Source organism: Homo sapiens, chromosome 18 (genome assembly GCF_000001405.40).
Source record: "Homo sapiens chromosome 18, GRCh38.p14 Primary Assembly".
In the NCBI taxonomy this organism is placed as follows: domain Eukaryota; kingdom Metazoa; phylum Chordata; class Mammalia; order Primates; family Hominidae; genus Homo; species Homo sapiens.
This window is the reverse complement of record NC_000018.10, coordinates 3,247,482-3,273,555: the sequence shown is the minus strand read 5'-3', so window position 1 is coordinate 3,273,555 and position 26,074 is coordinate 3,247,482. Positions and strand designations below refer to the sequence as shown.

Here is a 26,074-nt window from a genome sequence, read left to right as displayed (position 1 = left end):
TACATTTTAGTTATTAAAAAAATCATACAAAATATTGTGAAAGTCTTCTTCACTGTGTTCCCTTTTCCAGTCGCACTGCCCCTCCTTCCCAGAGATAACCATCATCACTTACTGTCACTCCTTGTTTATAACCTGTACTCAACCTTTATTAAGTATATTATTTAGCTACACTTGTTTGAAACTCTGGTATTTTGCTGCCTAGCCATGCCCTGGCTTTCCATCTAGAGACCTAAAAAATTTAGCTAACAGGAACATTAGCCTACCCGGGCACAGCATCTGCCAGGTCCCCAACCTTGTAGGCTTATCTCCATATGACTGGCCAAGCCCCAAAATAGCACCTCCCACACCCAGAAATCTCTCCAGAGGCCTTTTGAGACAAGGAGAGAAATATTTGTACATCGCACAAAAAAAAGATTCATAAAGAGACAAATTATTATTTTAGGGAAAATACAAATAAAGAATATAAAGTCTACCTAGAGAAGCAAGCATATCATGCAAATCTTCCTTGTCGATGAAGCCATCTCTGTTCTGATCAATCATGTTGAAGGCCTCTTTGAACTCCTGAATCTGTGACTGGTCAAACATGGCAAACACATTGGATGTTGCACGCTGAGGGCGCTTCTTGGTGGTCTTGGTCTTTGCCTTTTTGCTCGACATGGTGGTTGTTTAATTCTGGATTAAAAAAAAAACACAAAAACGTAAAACAAAACAATGTATAAAACAAAGCAAAAACAGAATACATAATACCTAAAGTCTGTAGGTAAAAATATCAATAAGGAATTATTACTTCAATTGGGTAGGAATAAGTATGCACCTAAACTTTATTTTCAATGTGACAATTAAATGACTGAGTGGAAAAAAAGCAGTTTTGAAACATTAAGGAACAGAATTTGCCAGACACCAGTGGCTCATGCCTATAATCCCAACACTTTGGGAGGCCAAGGTGGGAGGCTCACTTGAGACTAGGAGTTCGAGACTTGCCTGGGCAACATAGTGAGACTCCCATCTCTAAAAAAGAAAGAAACACAATAGAAATTATTGATGTACCTTGTCCTAAACTTCAGGGGATCAATTTTTATGAAGTGAGAATTTAAAATATCTAACAATAGCTAGCATCTATGGAGTACTTACTCTGGCCAAGCACTGTTATGAAGGCATAGGGCTTCCTCAAAGAGAAAGTCTCCAAAGTTGATTTCTTACTCTGACAAAGACTGTCCCCATTTAATCCTCACAACAGTTGCCTATGGTAGGTACTCTTATTCCCATTTTACTACCAGTATAACATAACCTCTCTGAGCCTCAATTTTTCATCAGTAAAACATGATATCTACTTCAATGCAAAGAACTAATTGAGATAACATATGTAAAAAGACTAGTCATGTTCAAAAAAGGTCTCATCTTTATAAATATCAAACCCACCCTTTCATCTTTCTAGCTATCCCTGCATTTCCCTTTTCCCTTGACAAGACTTTCAGAATACCAGTCTAATGCTGAACTGTCTTCATTTTTCCTTCTGTTTTTTATTTTAGAGATGGGGGGTTTCTCACTATATTGCCCAGTCTGATCTTGAACTCTGAGGCTCGAGATCCTCCCAAACTGCTGGGATTACAGACATGAGCCACCGTGCCCAGCCCCTTTTCTCTTCTTCCCAATCATTCCTCCATTCTCCGTAATATGGCTTTGGTAGTAGCTTCCAACACTCTACTGAAAGCCACCAATAATTTAAATGTCAAGCAGAAAAGGCACTTGTCATTTCATTTTTAATTTGCAGTTTTAAATAATAAATAAAACACAAAAATACCATCAGCTCTGGAGTTAGGAAGTCCTGAGTTCAAATCTCAGCTCCACCGTTACTAGCTACATATAACCTCTGAAAACCTATGTATCTGTGAGCCTAACAGCTTTCAGTGAGTTCTGTGAGTCTTAGCAAATAATCAAACGCAAGGGTGGTCTTAGGACATCCAAACTTGAAACTGCTGTCAGAAATGATGGTCTTGCAGACTGTTTCCGTAACTTCCTGCAATGTGAAAAACAAATGACTAGAGAGGTCAATGACTGAGCAAGGGGATTTTGGACCTAAGTCTCCAGGACTTCTGGTATTGGGATTTTTTATATAAATGTATTGTCTACTTCTATTTATTCAAGCTAAAGAACATCCCACAGGGTGTTTTGAAGCTTGGCTTAGTGGTGTTGTTTTGAAGTACACCAGCCTTACAGTCCTTACTCTAACATTCCAACTCCTTACCCTCCCCATATACAAGTCCTAAATAAATGTTAATTTTCTTCTCTTCCTTGTAACTTAGTTTGTTATTTGACCTTAGTTATATCGAAGGTTAAATCAGAGACAGAATGTAGTCTACTAACAAGGCATTTGATTATGTTTTCATTCTTCTTCACATACCAAAACTTAGATTAAGGTTCATTCTCATGCTAAAAATTTTGACTCAATTTCTTCAAGATTAGTCAAATACATCTGAAGGCAAAAATTATTAGTTCTCTCTCAGTATCAGCAAGTAATTTTTGTAATCGAGTTATTTAGAAAAAGTTCCAAAAGAGTTAAATATTTATTTTTAAAAACGAATCAGGCCGGGTGCGGTGGCTCACACCTATAATCTCAACACTTTGGGAGGCTGAGGCCAGAAGACTGCTTGAGCCCAGGAATTTGAGATAGGCCTGGGCAACAAAGTGATACTCTGTCCCTACAAAAAATTTAAAAAATTAGCCAGGTGTGGTGGCACATGCCTGTGGTCCCAGCTACTATTTGGGAGGCTGGGGTGGAAGGATCATTTGAGCCTGGGAGGTCGAGGCTGGTGAACCGTAATGGTGCCCCTAACCTCAGCCTGGGTGACAAAACGAGACACTGTCTCAAAAAATCAAATCAAATCAAATCAGAATCAGTCAATTGTATCATGCTACTTCTACAGTTAACCCAAAAATATACTATATTTAAACATTTTTGAAGTTTAGTCCGAGTTCTCTAAGAAGCTGATACCAAGACAGAATGAAACACCCAAGGATTTTATTAGGGGAAATGCCTGTGAGAAAGAATAGGGAGTTAGTTAGCCTGATAACTAGAAGAGCCATCACCATCTGATGGTGACACCCAAGAGAAGGAAACAGAAGGCAAGTTGATGGAAGAGAACAAAAAACAATTCACTAACTGGTCCCAATCAAAATATGTTAGAGCAGATATAGGCTCAATGTAGTAATACTATATTTTAAATTTTTTTCATACTTCATTTAAAAACAGTGGTACATTTGTATACGTATATGGTACCTATAAAAACTACACATACAGTATCAGCTGAAAAGTGAGGCAAAGTTGCATCAAAATAATCAATCTGAAGGGAACTCTGGCCCCCAAAGAAATTACCACCCTCTCTCCTTCCCTTCTGAAATAAGTATCTTGGCTTCCTCCACCTTCTCACTTCCCACTCACTTTTCAACCCACCACAATCTGGCTTTCTGTTCTCTACTGCAACTGCTTTAATTGCCAAATCTGGTCTAAATCTTCTTGGATCAGTCTACTGCATCACACTATTTTATCCCTCTTTTCTTTGGAGAGACAGCCACTGTTAGCCTGGTGCTCCATAACAGTAGAAATGAACTTTCCCAGGTGGAAAGGGTCCCAACCTTGAAGAACTTACGCTCTAATCAGGAAGACTGCTAAGCATTATATTGGAAAGACTGATTATGTAAAATGGTGTATTTGACTTACTCTAGCTCAGTTCTCCTATTTCTAAGATTTCCTCCTCCATTTTCCTCTTAGATGTTTATCTCCGTTTAAATATTCATGTTTCCCAGTATTCTAGCAGCACATGGTTTAAAGTTCTTTTCAGTCTTCATTCCTTGGATGATCTCATCAACTTTCACTGTTATGACAATGCCTGCACCTCCTAAATCCGAACCTCCAGGCCTGACCTTTCCTTGGAGCCTTGGACTCAAACATCCAAATGCCTGTGAAAGGCACCCATCTGGATATGCCACAGACACTCATAATCAACATGCTGAAAACTCAATTATCTCTCCCCTCCTGAACTTTACCATCTTTGTTTCCAATCATCTACCCAGCAGCCAGAAACCTAGGAGTCACCCTCCCCAATCCCTCTCCCTGATGAACCAAGCCCTGCCTCTGAGAAATATTTCTCAGAGTTGCTCATCTTCCTCATTCCTCTGTCATCACCCTAAACTGGATCCTCATTATCTCTTGTGTAAAATATCTCTATGGCCTCTTCACTATCCCCTTGCCTCTCGGCTCTCTCAAAACTACCCTTAGTTTTCTAGGCAGGGCTGTCTAAAACATGAATATGACCTCATCATTCCACTTTTTAAAATCTTCTTTGGCTCTCCACTTTCTAAAGGATAAAGTACCAAGTTCCTAAACATGGTGCATGAGTCTTCCTTTCCCTACTCTAGAATGACCTTTCCAGCCTCCTCTCTAGCCATTCCCTGCTTTGTACTTTTCCTTTAGCAACACCAAACTGCAAATGTCCCCAAGGTACCATGCCACATCTTATCTTGTATATCTTTGTTCCTGCTATTTTTCCAGCCCCAGTTGCCCTGATCTACTTCTCTGCCTTAGGAACAGAGAGAGAATTAAAGATCTACTCAACTTACAGCTACTACCATTTATTAAGTGACTCATGTGCTAGAAACATTATGTACATTAAATGAAACATGCCCACCTGCCAAATGAAGAAACTGAAGGTCAAAGATATTAAATAATCTTGCCCAAGGTCACCTAGTGGCAGAGCTAGGATTCAAATCCCATTTGTTACAGGTTGTTTCTCCTTGTATATTTTCTACTTCCTACTAAATACTCTTCTAATTATTTTGAGTTCAGCACAAAATTTTTTAAAACTTGCAATGCCACCAATATAATTCAACACTGATTTCTGAGCACCTACAATCCTCTAAATTCAAATCCTAGACAAACTGAGTTTTCAAATCAAGTCAATCTACACCAGAAAAACCAAGGTACAGAATAGAGTTGCAGTGAGTAAATGAAATGTGAGTGGCACTCCCTGGAACTGTGCAGTGTAGTAGCCCTGGTTGGGTTTAGTCAGGTGGCAACTATCAGTTATGGCTTTCCTTTGAAACTTTGATCTAGGACTGTCCAATTTATTAATGTTTAACCAAGAAGCATTCAAAAACAACAACAAACAAAAACACAAAAAACTAATCCAACCCTTACAGACAGAAAATAGCCATACAGAACACAGCACAAAATGAATGTAATAACCCTCAATAGCAGTAAAAACACTTCTTCCTTCCTCTGCAACACTGTTACTCTGATATTGCTATAAATTTCTAATACAAAGTGAACTACAGGATATAAGTAGTACTCAGAGGTTACATCAAAGGCAGGCATGTAGGAATTGATACAGCAGTCCCTCCTTATCTGAGGGGGATATATTCCAAGACCCCAGTGGATGCCTGAAACCAGGGATAGTACCCAACCCATACAGTTAGCCCTCCATATCCACAGGTTCCGCACTCACAGATTCAACCGAGAATCAATTGTTCATTTATTTGGAAAAATACAACAATAAAAATACAAATAAAAAATACACTATAACAACTATTTATATAGTATTTGCATTATATGAGGTATTATAAGCAATCTAGAGATGATTTAAAGTATTCAGGAGGATATGTGTAGGTTATATGCAAATACTATGCCATTTTATATGGGAGACTTGAGCATCTGCAGATTCTAGTATCTGCAGGAGGGTCCTGGAACCAACCCTCTGCAGATACAGATGAATGACTATATACACTGTTTTTTCTTATACATACATACCTACGATAAAGTTTAATTTATAAATTAAGCACAGTAAGAGATTAACAATAATAAAATAGAACAATTATAATACACTGTAATAAAAATTATGTGAATGAGATCTCTCTCTGAAAATATCTCACTGTACTGTACTCACTTATTTTCAGACTTCAGTTGACCACAGGCAACTGAAACCGAGGAAGCAAAACCATGGACCGTGGAAAGAAGCATCATATAGGACTACTGTATTATGTATTATAGGTGGCTGTGGTATCAACATACTTAGTTGATAATAAAAATGTTTGTAAAGTCACCTGCAGTACTGATATGCAAACAGAAACATGGACACCATCATCATTAATAAGCAGAAATTGTCTATATACTTCAGCATATATTGCTTTATCAAAGCTTGGGGAAGATGCTCACAGAGCACATTCTGTCAGCTACCTATGATTTCCTCAACATTGTTTTGAGGCTTCTTCCTTTAAGTATCTCAAGTCAGCTAGAGCAAGTAAATACGGCTCTTAAAGCAGTTAAATCCTCTGGTTTCAATCTTGGCTGCACATCAGAATCACCTCAGAAGTTTCAAAAAAGTGATGCCTATAGCCTCAAGGTAATGGAATGTCTGGGGGTGGAGCCCAGGCATCTGTATTTTCAAAAACGCACCAGGTGATTTCAATGCACATTGAAGGTTGAGAACCACTTAGATTATTAAGTTAACCACTTAGATCACATTGGCTGTTTATGCATCTAGTTCCCCTTAGTTTTTCAATGTTGTCATTATGGTTTAATGGAGATGCTGGAGACATGGATTCCAATTCCAGTTCTATCATTCACAAGTTGTATGACTGCTGGTCATTTCGGCTTCCCCAGGCCTCATTTTCCTCATCCATTAAATAAGTGTTAAGTAGATCAGAAGTCATAACCTGGCAGCTACCAAACTACATGCAGTCTGCACAGAGGTTCATTTAGTAATCCCCAGGATGACCTTTAAAATGCCTCTTTTAAAAACTGAATTAGTTTGCCAACATTTAAAAAAAACTGAACATTTTACATAACCTAAATTTCAGATATTTTAAACAACTGTACAATAAGGAATCACTTGACCAGCATCCTGGAAATTCCTGCAGGCCATAAGTGTTCAACAAGCAATCCCCTCTACTCCCTACATCTCCTTATCCCAGCTGGTATTAGTTTGTTATCTGTCTGACCCCTCAGAACACTTTAACTTGCTCCTCTGGTCATGGTGGTAGCCAGGTTCCAAGAAAGCCCTCAACAATTTTCATGCCCTTGTGCAGTCCCCTCCAACAATGAAAAGTGTTGACCCGTGTAACCAGTAAGATATTGTGACAATAAGATATTGTGAAATGAGGGTGTTTGGCTTTGTCATAATACACCTTGCAGCTTTTGCCCTGCTCTGTCATGGATCACTCAATCGGCGGGAGCCAGGTCATGCAGACACACAGCCCTGTGGAGAGATCCATGTGGCAGGGAACTGAGGATTCTTGCCGACAGCCAGCACCAACTTGTCGGCTATGCGTCAGCCATCTTGGAGGCTGATCTTCCTTCAGACGACTGCAGCCTCCCCATGTGACCTCATGAGAGACCCTGTGCCAGAACCACCCACCTAAGCTGCTCTGGCTCTGACCCTCAAAAATTGTTCATTGTTTCTGAGGTGCTAGGTTTTGGAGTATTCTGTTATACACCAATAGAAAAGTAATAAAGCCACTGTCTCCTTGACCTCTTTAATGTTAAAATAGGGCAATGCCTTTATTTCAGAATTACAGCCACAGTCCAAGTTCCAAGGGACCGCAGTCAAATTTGCATAGCACGGGGAATTTTCCATTTCTGAACAGAAAAGTTTAAAGTCCTTCTACTCAGTTTCCATCCAAGTTCTGTAGGTTCTTCTCTTTACTGCACGAGTCACCCTTCCTCAACATTCCCACCACCACCATCCTATTCTTTTGGCTGAATTCCTCTGGCTCTGACCAGCAAATCACTTCCTGATTTGCTAGTTATTCCTGCTTTCTAATTGGAGTCTCAAAGCTCTGTCCTTTTTCCTAAGTGCTGACTGAAAACCTGGTAGTATAAAGCTACCACTCAAAAATGAGGTAATTGGGGAGGGGAGGGAGGAGCTGGTTTTGTCAGCAAAGGATGATAAATAACTCAAATTTTATCTGGGCCACAGTAGAATGCTAGTAGAGGACAGGACTCTGAGAGGGTCTTGTTAGCAGTGCTGATTTGTGAGCAGAGGCACAAGGTAAAGCCCTCAGAGTAGATGAACTCACACAGAAAAGCAGAGAGTAGTTCTTGGGCTAAAACCTAAGGTCATTTTTACTCCACCTCATCTTCACCAAGGTCTATCAGAATCTTTAGAAATTTCTCATGGATTCTTATGGTTATTACTGTAGTCAAGTTGAATGTTCTAACTGGAAGACTCAAATGACTGGATATATAAGCAACAGTCCGAAAACAGCAGTCATAAACAGAATTTAGTATATATCAAGTTAAAAATACTTCACAAAAGTAACCTCATCTACCTAATGACATATAATTGCTTTTGTGCTGCATATTTAGGCAAAAAAATAGTTCCATAAATTATTAGAAGTATTTTTTTTAGGGAGCCAAACTCAATTTTTTCAACTTTTTTTAACACCAGGGAAGCATTTCCCCTAGTACTCTATATGTATTTTAACACTTACCACATACACATTATAACAATGACATTTCTTTCTCTATTATAGGTTTTATGATCATTACAGTTGGCTGCAAACTTTCTATTCTCTGAGCTCCTATATCATTTTGTTTTACTGCAGTGAAATTTATATAGTCAAATGTACAAACCTTAATAAGTTTTTATAATGTGTATACCCATGTAACCATCACCCCCATTAAGTTACAAATGTTAACACTGTTCCAGAAAATTCTCTCCAAGTTAATCACCATCTCCCATAGGCAACCACTGTTCAGATTTCTATCACCATAGATTAGTTTTGTTTTTGAACTTCTTATAAATGGAATTGTACAGTATATATTCATATATATGCCTGTCTTCTTTCATTCAATACAATGTTTTTGAAATTCACCTCTCTTATTGGGTTTATGGCACAATCATAGTTCACTGTAGCCTTGAACTCCTGGACTCAAGTGATCCTCCTGACTCAGCCTCGAGCAGCTGGGACTACAGGCATGAGTCACCATACACAGCTACTTTGCAAGGAGTGGGTGGCAGGGTAGAGACAGGGTCTCGCTATGTTGCCCAGGTTGGTCTTGAACCCCTGGCTTCAAATGATCCCCCCACATTGGCTTCTCAAAGCATTAGGATTACAGGTATGAGCCACCATGCCTGGCCATATTCATTCTTTTTATTGCCTTTTGCCTTTCCACCTTGGACTGCAGAACTTAGCAGTGTGCCTTGCACATGGCAGGTGCTCAAATAATCCTAGTTAAGCAAATACATATATATATGTATAAATATATGTATAGTATACACAGTTGTATATAGTGTATATACATATATAGTTCTTTCCTGTCACAAACAGAATTACACATATATGTTCATTACAAGGTAGGTCCCGGATCTGAATTCCAACATGAGGCTTTTCTCTACGGTCTACCTATGGTTCCAGTCTCTTCCCCAAGAGATCCCTAAGGAAACTTAGTAGCTACCCACTGCTCCATACCTGGAAGAAGCAGTAGCAACCAGGGACAACTGGGTGCTAAAGATGTGCCAGGCACTGATTTAAGCATTTTGTATGTGTTAACACATTTAATCCTCACGACAACTCATCATATAGGTATTGTTATCATCCTCTTCTCTCAGATACGAAAATCAGGGTAAAGAGAATAAACAACTTGCCACACAGCTAGAAAATGGCAGAGCTCAGTCAGGATCTGTACTCAGGAAATCTAGCTCCAGAGCTTGAACCACTAGCCAGTAACATCCTGCATACAGGCAGCTGAAATTCTCTACCATGAAAATGTGGATACCTGGGCATAACAAGCAATGACACCCCAAAGCTAATGTGTAGAATGAGGAAGGAAGATCACAAAGATGCTGGCAAAAAGGGTATGATAAACTCATCCCCAGATATACCTGGAGCCTTTGAATCTTGGGAGAAAGGGAAAACTAGCCCCATGTCGGGGCTCTAAATCCTGTTCTTTCCTAACCCTAGCAACTCTTGTCTGGACATCTGTCCTTCAGAAATTGCAGTTCATCTTGTTCAAGCTTAGTTTCATCAAAGCATAAACGAACATCGAGTCAGCCATCATAAAAGCTGTTTCACTCAAAAGAGCCTAAAGCACTCAAAAGTGCTCTTAGTTATAAAGTCCAGGAGGGTCCACCACCTTCGACAAATTACCTCACCTCTCTGGGTTTCACTTTCCTCAGTTATAAAACGCAAAGCCTTCACAAGGTAATCTATCAGGTCCTACTGAATTCTAAATGCTTTGATTCTTCTCTTACCAAAAGACCATTCCAAATCTACCTTAAACTAAAGCGGCCAAACGAATCCTCTAAACATCCCTTTCTTATTACTCCGTTAGTGAAGACTCCAAAATTACTCTCTATGGCTTCTTAGATAATCTTTTCTTTCTCCTAAGTTTTCAAGACATCCATAAGAAGGTCCTACTTACCTATCTACCCTTATTTCCGACTATTAGTCATTACAGTTCTGTTCCATACCCGCCGGTGTCCCCACGGCCTGCTTTTCACAGGACACAATTCCCAGCTTTTGAGTTTTGCTCGTTACCACCTCCCACACATCTAGCCGGAAACGCTAAGTTCTCCCTCTTAAGGTTGAATCCAAGGCCTTCAGTGAGGTCACGACTCTTTTCCAAGTAACCTTTCCCTATTTCTGTTAATGGTCCTTTCTTCAATCAACACGAATAAACTAAACCTTTACAAGATGCAAGACACACTGAGCGAATTACAACTCTATGTAAATCATCACATTTGAGCCCGTATCAACCACACACTCGGTTACCGGCATGCTAATGGCTTCCTTGGAGGCTTCACCTTAGGCAAGACCGTGCAACAGGAGGCTCCTCCACCCTCCAAAGCATCTAGGATAGTGTTGGGCACAGGGCAGGTGCTCCACACGAACACGCCCGGGTCGGCCCCAATCCACCGCCAGGACCCGCCGCGGCGCCGGGAGGGCAGGCGTTGGCCGCCGGGCAGCCGGGCCGTCCAAGGCCCAGGTGTCTGAGGTCACCCAGGTGGCGCAGGGCCGGCCCACGCACGGCCGGGACCCGGCCACTTCTCCAGCAGGGCGTCTCCCCATACCGGCTCCATCGCCTGCAGCCTCCCGGCCCCTGGACGTCCGGGCCAGGGCCTCGCCACCAACCCTCCTCCCGCCGCCAACCCTCCTCCCTCCACCTCCGGCCCCGCGCCCCCTTCTCAGCCAGTCTGACAGGTCCTGCCGCCGCCTGGCCGCCCTGGGGCGGGGTCCGGCCGCAGGCGCGCGACGGGAGGGGGCGCGGGGGTACGGAGACGGCGGCCCGAGGGGTCTCGCGAGCAGAGTCGAGCGCGACTCACCCGACGCCAAACACCAGAACCGGGGCCGCCCTGCGCGAGACCACAAACGACAGCGAAGAGCGTTAGGCTGTGGCCGGACAGTGGCGGCGCCGACACTTCCTGCCTGAAGGGGCGGAGCGGAAGGCGCACCGGAAGGCGCACCGGAAGGCGCACCGGAAGGCGCGGCGGGACCAAGTGGAACGGGGGTGCGCTGAGTGTTCGCGCCCGGGCCGGCGGGGTCTGCGTGTCCGCCGAGCGGCGGGGCTGCTGAGGCCGGACGCACACGGCCGGGGTCTTAATTGCCCCTCCGGCCTGCTCCGATCCGCTGCGATATCGCGGCCTGCGCTGCGGCGGTCGTCCGCAGCCCGGCCCTCGTCCCCCGCTCCTTTGGTAGCTCCGCCACCCTTCCGCATTCCTGGGCCCGCTGGGCGCGGCTGGGCAGGCCGCTGGAATTTGACCCGAGTGGGCCGCGATCGGCCGAGGATTTGGGGTCCCCTTTGACCCAGGCGGGGCGCGATCCGCCTAGGATTTGGGGTCCCCTGGCGCCGAACCCTGAGTTGCCAGATGTAGCAAGTAAAAGTACAGTTCTTCTAAATTTGAATTTCAGACAAGACAGGTTTTAGGGTTCGTCTCATGTAATGTTGAGAAGGTGAGGGCGGCGCCTGGGCGGATTCTTCTCCGTTCCAGAATCCCTTTCTCTTTTCAAACCGCATTACAGCCCGAGTTAAATTCTTTAACCTACTCCTCTCTGCTTACCCTCATAAGGTTTACGGCCGTATCAGGCTACGGCCGCAGCCTACGGCTGTTTGATTCCCCTTTTGGCCACAAGAAAGTTTTATTCGAACTACTTGCTTTCCTTTATCAAGAAAATGGCAACGCACACACATACATGCACACACAAATAAAAACACAAAGCTACGTTTTTCAGGTTTTGTTCTAGATCGTGTTTGTGGCTGTGTTCTTCAGGATATTTTCCCTCACCTTGAGGTAATCTAGCATTACTTCATCTAGCATTACTAAAATAGCATTACTTCAGGATGGTGGAGGATCGGCAATCTAATAGCAAATCTTTATTGAACTCTTCTTACTGCCTTAACATGTGCCGGATGCTGAGAGATGAATTCAAAGCCTCTTAGGGAGTTTATATTCTAGAAATCTTTGATCAGAAATTCCTAGAAGAGAGGGACCTTGTGTTCAGCACTCTGTAGCAGTTCTTAAACAGTAGCACGCATAATAACAGGGCTTTTAAAAACATTTTTGAGCCTCAAAACCGGGTATCAGGATTCAGTGAGTAAGGGGTGGAGGATAATTCGAATTTCTGGTAAGCACACATGATGCTGATGGGGTGGTCGCCATCCCAGCAGCACAGCTCTAAACGCGGTTCATAACTGTGTGTATTTTCTCAATAGTGTTAGAAAAGCAATTGCTGAAAAGTCACACCTGGTTCTACAATATTTACTCTTAGGTTTTGGTTCGATAGTCTAAATTAAAAAAAAAAAAGTTTCTAGAATTGTGCTGTCCAATACAATCGTCACTAACCACATGCAGCTAAACTTAAATTTAGTTCCTCAGTTGTATTTGATACGTTTTATTTTTAGAGATGGGGTCACCCTATGTTGCCTAACCTGGAATGCACTGGCTATTCACAGGCGTGATCATAATGCACTACAACCTGGAACTCCTGGCCTCAAGCGATCCTCTCACTTGAGCCTCCCAAGTAGTTGGGACTACAGGTGAGAGACACCGCACCAGTGCGTCTGGCAGTATTAGACACTTTTTTTTTTCTTGAGACGGAGTCTTGCTCCGTCGCCCAGGCTGGAGTGCAGTGGTTTGATCTCGGCTCACTGCAACCTCTGCCTCCCGGGTTCATGTGATTCTTCTGCCTTAGCCTCCCGAGTAGCAGGGACTACAGGCCTGTGCCACGACGCCCAGCTAATTTTTGTATTTTTAGTAGAGACGGGGTTTCACCATGTTGGCCAGGATGGTCTCAATCTCTTGTCCTCATGATCCGCCCACCTGGGCCTCCAAAAGTGCTGGGATTACAGGCGTGAGCCACCGCGCCTGGCTAGTATTAGACACATTTTAAGTGCTCAATAGCCACATGTGGTTAGTGTCCTTATTGTATGGCACAGAGAGCATTTCCTTAATTACAGAAGCTTCTATTTGACAGCACTATTCTGAAGAAATAATTCTAAGGTATATTGTTCTCTCTAGATGCAAAAGAAAAGCCTATAATAGGCTTTGTTTAATCATGAATAAAAATTTATTCACTAATAAAAATAGCTGGATAGCTAAATATCTATCATTGGGAAATTGTTAATTATAGCATGCCCACATCAAAGATAACTGAAGTTAAGAATGGTTGAAAAAGAAATATACTCAAAACAATGGTGGCTATGCCAAAACATGAGATATAATTTAAGTAGTAAACGAAAAAACAAGTTGTAAACTCATTACAACTCTAAAATGTGTGTGGATAAATACTGGAGAAAAGTCACATTTCCTGCTATTTGAGCAGACACAGAGAAATCTAGACTAAAAAGATATAGGGACTTGGAAGATGGAAGAGCAAGTGGAAATGACTCGAATAAGCAGCAATGGGAAAACTGGGCATTTCTTCAATGTGGGATTAGCTACTACAATCCCTTTATGGACAGAAAAAATAAACTGTACCCGTGAAGAGGACCTAATTCGACACACACAAGTCTGGCATATTGGACCTGCTCAGGAAATCGAAAGTGAACTATTTCAGAATCCACTAGTACCAAACTGACAGGCATTTGTATGCATAGTCTTATAAAATCTTCCTAACAACCTGTTAATGAAATTCTACCTTGAAATCCATCCACTTTTCTAAGGGCAATCCTACGTGGTCTAGGTTCTGTCACATCCTAGCTCTTAGACATGATCCATTTTGTTTCACTAATTGTTCCCCCCTAGTTTGTTGTCTTCTACTCTGCCTATAAACAGGCTTGAATTTGAAGATATGCCCTTTGCCCCTTCTCACTGGCCCACTCGTAAACAAAATAACTACTATTTGGAGACCTAATGTGTCCCAGACCATTTGTCTTTCATGCTTCTAATTTTCAGAAGAAACTTGGATGGTATTGGCCATTTTACAGATGAGGAAACTGGCAATTAAGAACACAAAGTCAAATAGGCAGGTGCAATTCACTTAAGTATGGCTCCAAATCCGTGCTGCTCTTAATCACACAAATGCTGCTTTATATATTATGTTCCTAATATGAACCAACAGTATTATTTCCGTTTTATAAATGAATAAATAGGCCAAGGAAGTTTAAATAACTGACTTAAGGTTATAGAGCCATGACGTAGCAACAAACGGGAATTAAGTGTAGGTCTGCCTGACCCCACACCTAGGCATTATTCACTATCCTGTGCTGCATTATGGATTCTGCACTCAGAACTCTAATAACTCTAGCAAACATGACTAACGACTTGTCACATCTGGGAGGGTCTCATTTAAACCTTCCCATACTCCACTTTTCTGTGTTGGACACTGCCAACCTCCTTACTCTTGAAATTAACTAGGTTTCCGTAAGACTGTTTTTGTGGCTCTATTTACCTCTCCAAACTCTGATCATTTTTTATCTGATCCTCAAGTCTAGGTGTTAAGCCTCTTGCTGTCCTTCCTCTTTTCACTTTGTAGCAAATGGTTTCCTTTCCTTCTCAATTTGCTGTTACTTGTCTCTTATGCTCAGGCCTTCCTCCTTTCTTTCCCAGGAGCATTCAATTCCTGCTCTCATCAAGTTATAGATTCTTTCATCAAGTAAAATTTGGGGCCTGGAATCAAAATGACCATATCATCATATGCAGGTGGATAAGGATGCCACCCCCATTAGGCTGGTTTTGTCCGATTTTTGTTTTCTTTTTCAAGACAGGGTCTCGCTGTCACCCCAGGCTGGAGTACAGTGGCACAGTCAGCTCACTCCAGCCTCAAACTCCTGGGCTCAAGCAATCCTTCCACCTTAGCTTCCAGAGTAGCTGGGACTATAGGCACCCACCACCATGTCCGGCTAATTTTTAATTTTTATGTAGAGATGGGGTTTTGCTTTGTTGCCCAGGCTGATGTCAATCTTCTGGCTTCAAGCAGTCTTCCTACTTCGACCTTCCAAAGTGCTGGGATTACAGATGTGCGCCAACGTGCCTAGCCAGATCTTTTGAAATGGTTTAAGTATGACTTTCATCATGGAAACTTTTGAGACTGATTTTTCAGTCAAACACACCATTGAAATGGATGCTTTTACCTTTCTGTTGGCAATCACTCTTGTTTAAGCAAAGAATGCTATTACTAAATTAGGAGAATTATTTCATTCAGGGTACATCATTGTTCTTAATGCAAGTTGGTTCATTAAGCACTTATCTGAAAGGGAAACAGGGGCCCTGCAAGAGATCCTTTTAGTAGTACCTTGTTTTTCATATAGTGCAAACAATGCTATCTGTTCTTCACTAGAGATGTAACAAAGCATATGATAATTTTTTCTCTTGACATGGAAATTCAATTCAAAAAACAAGATTTTAGCACCATGGCCATAGCCTGGAAAAAGTATTTTGGCTTAACCAGTGAATAAAATTCAGAAACAAAAGACAAAGAATGAAGGCAGGTTCTAAGATTCTAATGCTGAAGAGGTCAAGGACTAGCTTTGACTAGTCCTTCTATTCCTATAGCACTGGCCTTCCCACGTTACAGGATCTAGCTGATCTATCTTATTGGCTGCAAAGGCCTGCTGCCCAGAAGGCTTTTAGTAATTGTTTACTGAATGAGGTAATGGTTTTGTCCAAGGAGAGTCATGTTAATCGTAGCATAAAACTTAAAGTTATTATAGTAATTGTCAATTACTCATCTTCATAGGCTAATTGTCAAATCTTTTCAACCAAATTTTTCTCCATTTCAAATCTTTTAAAACTCATGCTCTTTGAGAGTCAGAGTTTTGGGCTGGGCATGGTTGCTCACACCTGTAATCCCAGCACTTTAGGAGGCAGAGGTGGGAAGATCACTTGAGTACAGGAGTTTTAGACCAGCCTAGGCAACATAATGAGACCTTGTCTCTACAACAAATTAAGAAATTAGCCAGGCATGGTGGTGCCTGCCTGTAGTCCCAACTACTCAGGTGGCTGTGGATCACTTGAGCCCAGGAGGTCAAGGCTGCAGTGAGCTGTGATCGTGCCATTGCACTCCAGCCTGGGTGATAGAGCGAGAGACCCTGTCTGGAAAAAAAAGAGAATCTTGAAGCCCTTTGAGAGTCAGATTTTTAAAGCTGAAAAAGAACGAAACTGTCTGCCACTCCCTGATTAACTGTGAAACAGTTCTGCATTTCTGCAAATAGTAGAAGTTATTTTTAGGACTGAAATAATGACCTCACTTTCCCAGGCATGCAGGTTCAGCTGTTTTGATTGTGGGAAGGTCAGGAATGTCCAAAACTCAAACATGGACTCATGGTGAATCTCTGCATAAACAAATATCTTTCAATACACATTGCTGTGTTAAAGAAAAACTACATATAATAAAAAAAATACTGCATTATATTTCCAGCACTTTAAAACATAACATAAAAATCTCTCTTTGGTAGCATTCCACAGAACCTTTAAGCCAAAATGGTTTTTAAAAATATGACAAATTGAAATTATACTCAGTAACCTGGTCTAATTTTAAATGACCAGAAATTACAAAAGTTTAAATAAAGTGGAAATGTTGGCAGGTATGTCAACTTAAGGACTTAAAGCTATGGAAACTATCATATATGCAAATTCTACAGGAAATTATTTTAAAAATTGGAAGACAAAGTGCAGAAAACCTGATTAGGGCAGTTAAAATTGGATATCCTTGGGAGGAGGAGGAGGAATGGATAGTAGAGGAGATAGGATTGTTAGGAAAACTGGAGGAAGAGAAAGCTAACAACCATATCATTTTCTAGGATTTCCCTCATCTACCTTTCTTTGGGAGATACGACTGAAACCAACAAAAGCCAAGTTTGGTAAATAAGAAGTTTAAACAAGTAAGTATTTTATCATAAAGTTTAATTATGATTCAGAAAAAATCGAGCGAATAACTTTCTCTGAAAAAATATATTGACTCTGTATAGACCACAGTTATTGGGGGAGAAGGGCTGGTAGGTTAAATTATCCTATTTTTTATTCTGAAAATGATATTAATAGAAAGTCCCGTTTCCAGTCTGATTATAAAGATACATATGCCCAAAATGGCTGAGAATAAATACAACAGGAAATGCAAAAGCTGTAAAGCTAAGGGCATGCAAGAGAAAATCTCAGAATACCCAAAGTGGCAACAAGGAACGTTTGGCTGGAATTTGAAGTTATTTCAGTCATCTTTGTCTTTGGCTCCATGTTTCAGGATGCGTGTGAACTCGATGTAATTGAAATTCCCCTTTTTATCAATAGGTGCTTCTCTGTACAGCTCATCCACTTCCTCATCTGTAAACCGATCCCCCATGGTTGTCAGCAGCTCTCTCAAGTAATCTTCCTGTATGGTGCCTGGAGAATAAAGAACAAGGGATCAGAATACATACTATTCTGAGGGTTAATTACAAAGAATATCTATACTTGACTAAGCATGTTCTGTATGTTACAAACTATAAACATGCAAATATATGAACTACAGGGTGTCCACCTACTTAAAACAGCCTCAGCAGAGAAGTGCCTAGAAAAATGCCTAGCTGCTTAGCAGCACTGCTCCGCTCTATCATTTGCTCTATCATTCTGCCTCCACATTCAGCTTCTGATCTCTTGATAAGAGAGACTAAACCTATGCCTAAACAAAGTAATAAAAAGTATGGTTAAAGAATCTAAGCCTTACGGTTCCTTCAAGTGGCATGAATGGTCACATCTTATTCTACAAACAAGTAACATTTACCTGCCAGGCTAAAATCAACACTACATCATACACATCAATAAAGTGGTACAGTGGAAAGAATACCGGAAGCTTGAGGCCCAGTTTTAAGAAGCTATTTTATTTCAGGCATTTCACTTCATCCCTGACTTTGGTTTTCTCAGATGTAAAATGAGATTTTTACTGTTTACAAATCCAATTATTGTAATAAATATGGCCAGTCCCAGCACATGCAAAAACATGGAATAAATATTTGAGCACTAACTATGTGGCAGGCACTGTGCTGGGCAGTGGGGATGTGCAGTGGTAAGCTGAAAGGTGTGTGCTCTTTACTTTGGGAATTTGATACCAGGGTTCTCATAAAACCTGCCTGCCTACAAGAATCTGATGTCACCCGATTTATTTTCTGGTATTGGTATTTTTAAGATTTCCCAAATAACTGGCATGCACATGTGGGGAGCCTTGAAAGCCACAGACCATGCTTCCATCAGCAGGCCCTGGCAACCACCCAGTATTTAAACTCGTCCCACTAATGGAGGCAACCAAAGATTGTGCCTTCCTTCACTAAACACACTTGGCTACGCCATGTTGAGCTGGGAATCACGGAAAATATTCCCTCATTATGTTTTCTCTTACATACACTTCTGCCAAAGGATCAGGCCCCTATATAGATAACATTTTGTTTTTTTGAGAGTTAACTCTGTGCCACACAGTATGCTAAGTACTTCATGTACATCTCACTTCTTCACTTAATTCTCACAACAACCCTATGAGGTAGGTAATACTGCTCATTTTACAAATAAGAAAACAGAGGCTTAGAGAAAGTTAAGCAACTTGCCCCAAATTATACAGCTATTATGTGGAAGAGGAATTTGAAGCCAGATAGTCTAATTCCAGACCCTAAGTTCTACTGGGTGTATTTTAAAATAAAGGTTAGATGTCAGATTTAAACAATTTGAGAGCTGACAGATACCTGGTAAACATATACAGGATTGTAGTGGTGCATGGCCTATAACAATTTATACTTCATCAAGATTATTCTGGTAAAAGTTTTTTATTCAATACATATTTTCTGAGAGCCTAACCCTTGTGGAGTTAACATGGTAGGAAAGGGGTAATATAAGCTTCCCAATGAGGTTTCAAATACAACCTATTCATTGTAAACTACTACTTAGGGCAGAAGCAGCAAAGTGAGTGACAAACATGCCAAGAGAACTCTGTCTAAAAAAATAGGTGTAGTACAAACCTGAGAGCGTTATCATATTTTAAGTTACTGTATATTTTAGTTACCATAACTAAAAATTAAATCACTTTATAATTAAAGGTTACCTCTCACTTACCAGTTGCTTCTTCATCAAAGCAAGCAAAGGCATTTCTGATGACATCTTCAGGATCTGTGCCATTTAACTTCTCACCAAACATGGTGAGGAACATGGTGAAATTGATGGGGCCTGGAGCCTCATTCATCATGGCATCTAGATACTCATCAGTTGGATTCTTCCCTAAATTTTTAAAAGGGGTCATAATTTTAATTACATTACAATACATATCAACTATTAATGACAGTAAACATTTTGGTAACAAAGATTATCATTCATACAGTTTACTGTTTGCACTCATGAGAGTGAAACTATTTGGGGGGAAAGTTTTCTTAATGAATAGGGCCTATTAAAGAGTCTGGAAAGTATATGATAGTCCATTGGAATGTCAGAAGGAATAATACTGCTTCCATAATCAAGATCAGTGTTTTTATACACACACACACACACACGAACCCCAACCCAATCCTAAGACAGGGTCACGAATCTGCTGGTGATCCGGTGGGAAACACTGTTCCACACTTTACTCAAACCTTAGTAGACTCATTAGACAGGCTTTACAGAGCTTTAAGACTCATGAAATCAAGATGAAAGGCACCATGGAAATTCTATCCAATAGATTAATATTTAAACTGAGCATTACCCAATGAAGCAAGCATATCATGCAAATCTTCCTTGTCGATGAAACCATCTCTGTTCTGATCAATCATGTTGAAGGCCTCTTTGAACTCCTGAATCTGTGACTGGTCAAACATAGCAAACACATTGGATGTTGCACGCTGAGGGCGCTTCTTGGTCTTGGTCTTTGTTCTTTTGCTCGACATGGTGGTGGTTAAGTCCTAATTAGGAAAGGAAATACAATAAAAACCAAATCAACATCTAAGATTACTTAAGTTTGAATCAAAACAATGATTAACAAAAGTACACAGAACCAACTTTCCTGATATGTTTGAGCTACTCAGAAATGTGTCTTTAGAAGACACATCTCAACAAGATTACATATGTCCTGTACTGCTATATAACTAACAACAGCTGATAACCAAATCTGCTGATTTGATAACAATAAAAAACCAAGAAGCAAAAAAAATTAGGTACTTAGGAAACTCCCAAGTTCTATACTTCAGCAGTATAGGGGTGCTGAGGGATACTAATTCATCTTCAGTAGGTCCCTGCTTTGCAGCCTTAGCCTAAACTGGCTATTCCATAGTACGGTGGACAGAAAGGTGAAGAATAGTAAGAATGACTAACTGATGGAACAGGTCTTCATCTCCTAATCTCTATTGACAAATATTGTTAAAGCTTTCACTTTCAACTAACATTTTTTATTGTACCCTCACCACTAGGCAAAAGTAGTTCAAAAAAACTATTTGTTGAAAGGCTAATAGTAAAGTATAAAAAAACTGAAGGGAATTCATCTATAGTTTTTATAGACATTGCACTCTATCCAAACCAGTTTCTTGCATTACAGTCACACTAAATCACTGGAAGTATCTAAGATCTCTAAACAGAAATCAGAGCACAAGCTTTTAAAATAATTTTAAAAGTTTTAGAAAACATCTTAAACGTAGAAACTACCTTTGCTCTCTTACCTAAATTTATCCCGGTAAAATTTAAGTTAAAATTAAAAAGAATGTCTAATAATACCTAAAATAAAAAGGCAATTTTCAATACTCAATCTGTTAAAAACTACAAAAATTTGTTTCAAGTTAAAAATCTCAGTCATCAGACAATAAAATTCTACCATACCATCCTTCAGAGTTGCAGGGAAGATGGTAGTCTGCAAAACCGCTCAGCAGCAAAAGTAAGACACTGCATTGAGTTATATTCTTCCAAGCAGGTCTAAAATAGGCACTACTGATTTCACTCTGACCAGGATAACAATTTTAAAGCTTACGTTCTGAAAACAACATTTAGCTATGATCTGGCAAAACACTATGCCATTGGTCTAAAAATAAGTCTGTGGACTGCAAAGAATGAACTACCACCTAGATCTCAGCACTCCAAAGTGACCCTAAGAATGTGTTTCCGATGTGTTTAAAAAGTAATTTCTTACATTCTTTCCTTGATTATAACCATATCGTCCAGACTAAATACAATTATGGAATGATTAGAAAAGCTCTGCCTCAAATTTTTTAAAGCTAAATCTGTTTTCAGATTTTAATAGGAAATTCCACAAAGGATAGTCACAAATTCCAGCCCATCCAATACAGCACCGTATGGCAACTGGAATATATTGTTGAAAAGATATATCCTACATAGCACAGAAGTTATGATATATATGCTGTTCCCAAATTTCCTAGAATTCTTTAATCAACTTTTAGGATGCTGCCTTTCATGACTTAAAACTATTCATAAATGCATATTTTCATTCTATAACACCTTTGGGGGTAGTAAATCCCATTCACATCTAAACTACATGAGGATGTACTTTCCTCGTCTGTTATAAATGCTGTCTTTAAAAAATACAAAGAGATATAGAATATATTATTCCTCCAATTCTTAAATGTACGCAAGGACTTGGAGCAAGAGGTTGAAACCCAATGAGTGACACGTTTACCAGTCCATATCGCTTTAATATTTTAGGCATGTCACGCCTTTGCAAGCCAAAGCACATCTTTAAAAATAGTCTGTTTTGTGTGACAACATTGTCTTTCCCTAATGATGCAGAAATGTCAGCTATTTTAAGAACAAAGAAACTGATGAGGTCAAACGGCTGACACATCTGATTTTTTAATCTATTATATAAAATCTCATATAACTAAATTTACGAGGGTCCTCTAGATACATTTTCAAAATGCTTAGTTTTGGTTGTAAAGTAGTATGTTTTCTGAATTCTGATATATTTCCTATTCTTTTAATCACGCACTTTTTTGAATTGTAAATGTATTATAAAATAGATTTTTAAAGTAAAAAAGCTTTTTTTTTTTTTTGGGTCAGCACTGACAATGGCCTCATATAGAGCTCTTCTTCAGCACATTCAATACTTAATCTTATCAATTTTATTATGAAGTTAATTAAACTAATATGTATCAAACGTCATATTAATTATGTTGAATACTAGCTAAGAGTTAAGAAATGTAAGGCATGTGTCCTATCTTCAAGGAGCTTAATATAGTTGGGGAGGCAACTATAAAGAAATGAGATGATTGGTTCAACTTATGAAATGAGTCATAGTTTTCATTCCAGAAGTATGACTCTAAACTTAAAACGTGTGACAATAATGAAAAATAATTCCTAACATGGTACATAATTATCAAATGCTGTGAGTTCAGAAAAGATGTTTCTGAGTAATTAAGGGATTGGGGAGGAGGAAGACCTTGAAAAACCCCGTGTGGGATCATTTAGAAGCTACAAAGCATTGTTAGAATGAAGAGATTCGGCTGTTAGTCTCAATTCTAACAAATTAAGGTAGTTAATTCTATCAAAAACTGGCAGTGTAATGTTGAGGAAGTTACTACCTAGGCCTTTACTTTTTCAAGGAGGCTGGATTCTGATCTATGAGTTATTTTCCACCAGAAACCTTTCAGCGATAGGGAGTTTGGCTGCACAGTCACTGTTCCAAAATACAGAAACTGTGGGGTTTTTTCCCTACCAAACTAAAAGTGTGGGGAGAATAAATAATGGTGGAGGGAGTCAAATCAGGAACAGTGCTATGATCTCAAGGAGCAGATCATTTCTGATATTGTCAGGGTCCTCTTTGCTGATTCTAGTTTGTTGTTCATTTTACTTTCCTTCAAACAATTTAGACTGTCACTCTTCATGTAATAAGCCTTCAGCAAATGCACAACTCTCATCGAAGTTTAGAAAACTAGGGTATACCCCTTAATCTAAAAAAGTTGAAATTGCTTTATTATTATACTTTAAGTTTTAGGGTACATGTGCACAACGTGCAGGTTACATATGTATACATGTGCCATGTTGGTGTGCTGCACCCATTAACTCGTCATTTAACATTAGGTATATCTCCTAATGCTATCCCTCCCCCCTCCCCCCTGAAATTGCTTTTTACAAAAAGCAAGCTAGGGTAAAATAAATTGAAAAGATTTCATGTCAATGTAATTATTCTTTAGGATGCAAAGATCGCCAGGTAAGGACCTGAGGTTTCCAAATTACGAAGCTCCTCAATCATAAAGTCGAGTCTTTATTTACTTATTTATTTTTATTTATTTATTTTTGAGACGGAGTCTTGCTCTGTCGCCCAGGGTGGAGTGCAGTGGCGCGATCTCAACCTCCACCTCCAGGGTTCAAGCAATTCTCTGCCTCAGCCTCTGGAGTAGCTGGGATTACAGGCACCCACCACCATGCCCAGCTAATTTTTGTATTTTTAGTAGAGACGGGGTTTCACCACCTTGTGCAGGCTGGTCTTGAACTCCTGACTTCGTGATCCACCTGCCTCGGCCTCCCAAAGTGCTGGAATTACAGGCGTGAGCCACCGCACCCAGCTCGAGTCTTTATTTTTGAGGGATTAAGTGAAAGATCCTTGGTGTCAAGGAGTGTCTGTTGTACGAAACTGGAAAGTAGAGAGACTTACAGAACAGGCTTCTACAAAATATGAGGATTTCAGATGCATGAGAAAGTGGATGAAGGGCAGTTAGGAGACTGAGTTTACAGATCTAAAGGAGCATAACCTTTTTTTTAAGTCAGGCGAGGTGAGCGCTGGTGGCAATGAATCTGGTTTTTATTTTGTGTTTTAGCTCAGAATCATTGTGGGCTGTAACGAGAGATACACAACATGATTAAGGAAAATGTTAGACTAGATTAATAGGTGGGAGAAATAGAAGAGATTCTCAAAGTGGCTTTCCCCACACACCAAAGGACACAAGAAGTTTTCAGAATCTCTAGAAACTATGTTCATTTATAAAATGGGATTAATCCATACCAATATATACATTAGAGTTCTGTGGTTAGAATCCTAGAGTCCAGCATTTATTTACAAAGTGGCAATAAATGTAAAATAACCTAGAAACTTCTTCTACAAAACGAACACTCAAATTGATAATATTCTGAGAAATATCACACATTCTGCAAGAAAAAACCACCATCTTACAAAACACTGCGTACTGTGATAGCACCTAGTATTTGGTGGGCTTTCTAAACCCTGACCAAATATACCGCCTCATTTAATCAATGCACTTAAAAAAAAAAAGCCTAAGTATAACTTATTTTCTGGTGCTAACCACAATTTTTAAAAAGTGTATTTCAAGTTGGTGCTTCCGTTCCAAGTAAACCAAGTTTCATTTCTTATGCAAACTTCCGGTTGAAGGTAGGATTCGTTCTCTTGGACTGCCACACCCAAAAGTTCTCACCACTGGACAAAGACAATTAGCTGTGAGGGCTGACTTGCCAGTAAAGCCTCGCTTTTGAAAATAGAGTGCTTTTCTGATTACCGTTTATTAGAGCCCTTCCAGAACATGAAACAAATACCAATAATTTTAAGAAATATTCGCTTTATTCGCCTTTAAATATGAAACTTTTTGCACTTAAGTTAAAATCTCTGCTAAATCCATAGGTCTCTCAAGAACTGACAGATACATTCATATACCTACTAAACTACTTTAAAAAGAAGACACTTCCATGGCGAATTGAATTAGCCCAAACTTTCCCCCCAAATGGGACAAGGTATTACATTTTGGAGTTTTTCTTCGAGTCACAAACTAAACTCCAGATCTCTCTGTCCAAAATTTCATCGCTTAAAGAAAAAAAGTTCTAATTACAGGAGCGGATACTGAGCTGAAGAACTTCCCAATTTGAGTTGGTTATTCCTACTAAACGCAGCCACACAGCTGCAACAACAGCTGCAGCAGGGGGACAACGGGCTACGTTTTTGCGCAAACCCTCTTGAATCGGGCAAGTTGACGTTAGAAACTAAAATAGTCCCGGAGTCAGCTCTGCAGGGGTCGGGTTTCGCGGGCCCGGCAGTCGCCCAAGCTCAAGGCGCCAGTGAGCGAAGCCACATTTCCAGAGTTCCAAGTTTGGGCACAGGAGCGAAGTTCGGGTCTGGGCCACTCCAAGCCATGGCCTCGGATCCCAGAACCGGGGACCTGGCTGGCACACCTGCCCAGGTGCGCTACCGGCGCCAGGAGCCCCGCCGCCCTCCAGCTGCCCCCGCGGAGACGGGTCCCCGGGATGGGTCTCACGCGCCCGAACGCGAGCGCCACTCACCCGGCACAGCTACGAGAATCCGAGCACCTCTCCGAGCCCCTCGCTGCCGCTATCACACCACCCTGCTACCCAGAGAGCCGCTAAAAACCACCGCTTCCGGCCTCTGCTTAGCAAGCCGGAAGGAAGCCCGGTCACCTTTCTTGGCCCGCAGAGTGGGTCTGACTTCACGGAGGGGCGACAGAGAGGGAAGTCGCCAGTGTGGTCAGCGGGCGTGGTATTGACCAAGTGCATGAGAAGGAAGTGTAAAGTGGGCGACCTAGAATATAGAGCAATATATAATGGTCCTCTGGGTCCTGTTACTGAGTTTCCTTCTTTTTTGTACCTGTTGTTGCAGTGTTAAGTCTTCCTCCCCCCTATCCTTTCCGCAGATGGTTGCGTCCGTCCTGTGGCTTTGCCTGGCCGCACATTCCAGGGCACGGCGAAGGGCG

The 26,074-nt window shown here is 40.7% G+C and overlaps 2 protein-coding genes and 1 long non-coding RNA gene across 11 annotated transcripts in view, besides 5 other annotated features; 1 reads left to right on the top strand and 2 right to left on the bottom strand.

Annotated features, from left to right (window-relative positions):
* The window catches only part of MYL12B (myosin light chain 12B), a 16,329-nt gene extending 4,906 nt beyond the window's left edge, over positions 1–11,423 (bottom strand). Inside the window, exons 1-2 of one of the 3 annotated variants that reach the window (NM_033546.4) lie at positions 11,319–11,423; positions 474–672 (exon numbers count right to left, since the gene is read on the bottom strand). In NM_033546.4, coding sequence (NP_291024.1) covers positions 474–657 — 184 coding nt within the window. In that variant the 5' untranslated portion in view covers positions 658–672; positions 11,319–11,423. Of the gene's footprint in view, positions 1–473; positions 673–10,771; positions 10,944–11,318 lie in introns of those variants that run through there. The other 2 variants (NM_001144944.1, NM_001144945.1) reach the window with 2 other exon arrangements.
* Positions 10,878–11,767: a silencer, noted in NCBI's record as "silent region_9253". NCBI's record gives its function as "represses an Ori minimal core promoter by ATAC-STARR-seq in GM12878 lymphoblastoid cells {active_cell/tissue: GM12878}" and the evidence as "EXISTENCE:reporter gene assay evidence [ECO:0000049][PMID:35858748]".
* Positions 11,197–18,120, top strand: MYL12-AS1 (MYL12A and MYL12B antisense RNA 1). Of its 3 annotated transcripts, NR_130145.1 has the most exons (4): positions 11,197–11,503; positions 12,226–12,284; positions 17,234–17,314; positions 17,718–18,120. It is a non-coding gene; the product is annotated as an MYL12A and MYL12B antisense RNA 1 (long non-coding RNA). The 3 variants fall into 3 exon arrangements; NR_130144.2 differs by lacking the exons at positions 11,197–11,503; positions 12,226–12,284 and adding an exon at positions 11,738–11,946; NR_130143.2 differs by lacking the exon at positions 11,197–11,503 and having other exon boundaries at positions 11,738–12,284.
* Positions 11,978–12,027: an enhancer, noted in NCBI's record as "active region_13042". NCBI's record gives its function as "activates an Ori minimal core promoter by ATAC-STARR-seq in GM12878 lymphoblastoid cells {active_cell/tissue: GM12878}" and the evidence as "EXISTENCE:reporter gene assay evidence [ECO:0000049][PMID:35858748]".
* On the bottom strand, positions 17,319–26,074 carry MYL12A (myosin light chain 12A). 5 transcript variants are annotated; one of them, XM_047437270.1, is made up of 6 exons: positions 25,647–25,755; positions 24,113–24,195; positions 21,231–23,994; positions 20,128–20,323; positions 19,506–19,667; positions 17,319–17,810 (listed from the first exon to the last, which is right to left on the bottom strand). In XM_047437270.1, the coding sequence occupies exons 3-6, from the start codon at positions 21,231–21,233 to the stop codon at positions 17,638–17,640; spliced, it is 534 nt and encodes a 177-aa protein (XP_047293226.1). In that variant the 5' UTR covers positions 21,234–23,994; positions 24,113–24,195; positions 25,647–25,755; the 3' UTR covers positions 17,319–17,637. The 5 variants fall into 5 exon arrangements, with proteins under 5 accessions (XP_047293226.1, NP_001289977.1, NP_001289976.1 ...); NM_001303047.2 differs by lacking the exon at positions 21,231–23,994 and having other exon boundaries at positions 17,320–17,810; NM_001303048.1 differs by lacking the exons at positions 21,231–23,994; positions 24,113–24,195; positions 25,647–25,755 and adding an exon at positions 25,969–26,074.
* Positions 24,617–24,686: an enhancer, noted in NCBI's record as "active region_13041". NCBI's record gives its function as "activates an Ori minimal core promoter by ATAC-STARR-seq in GM12878 lymphoblastoid cells {active_cell/tissue: GM12878}" and the evidence as "EXISTENCE:reporter gene assay evidence [ECO:0000049][PMID:35858748]".
* Positions 25,449–25,528: a silencer, noted in NCBI's record as "silent region_9252". NCBI's record gives its function as "represses an Ori minimal core promoter by ATAC-STARR-seq in GM12878 lymphoblastoid cells {active_cell/tissue: GM12878}" and the evidence as "EXISTENCE:reporter gene assay evidence [ECO:0000049][PMID:35858748]".
* Positions 25,819–26,048: an enhancer, noted in NCBI's record as "active region_13040". NCBI's record gives its function as "activates an Ori minimal core promoter by ATAC-STARR-seq in GM12878 lymphoblastoid cells {active_cell/tissue: GM12878}" and the evidence as "EXISTENCE:reporter gene assay evidence [ECO:0000049][PMID:35858748]".

Bases quoted from the DNA above. Each gene is read 5' to 3' on its own strand.
- MYL12A (XM_047437270.1), bottom strand. The intron at 19,668-20,127 runs GTAATGCTCAGT...TTAAAAATTTAG, and splicing joins TGATATGCTTGCTTCATTGG to GGAAGAATCCAACTGATGAG. The intron at 17,811-19,505 runs GTAAGTGAGAGG...TTTATTCTCCAG, and splicing joins CTTTGATGAAGAAGCAACTG to GCACCATACAGGAAGATTAC.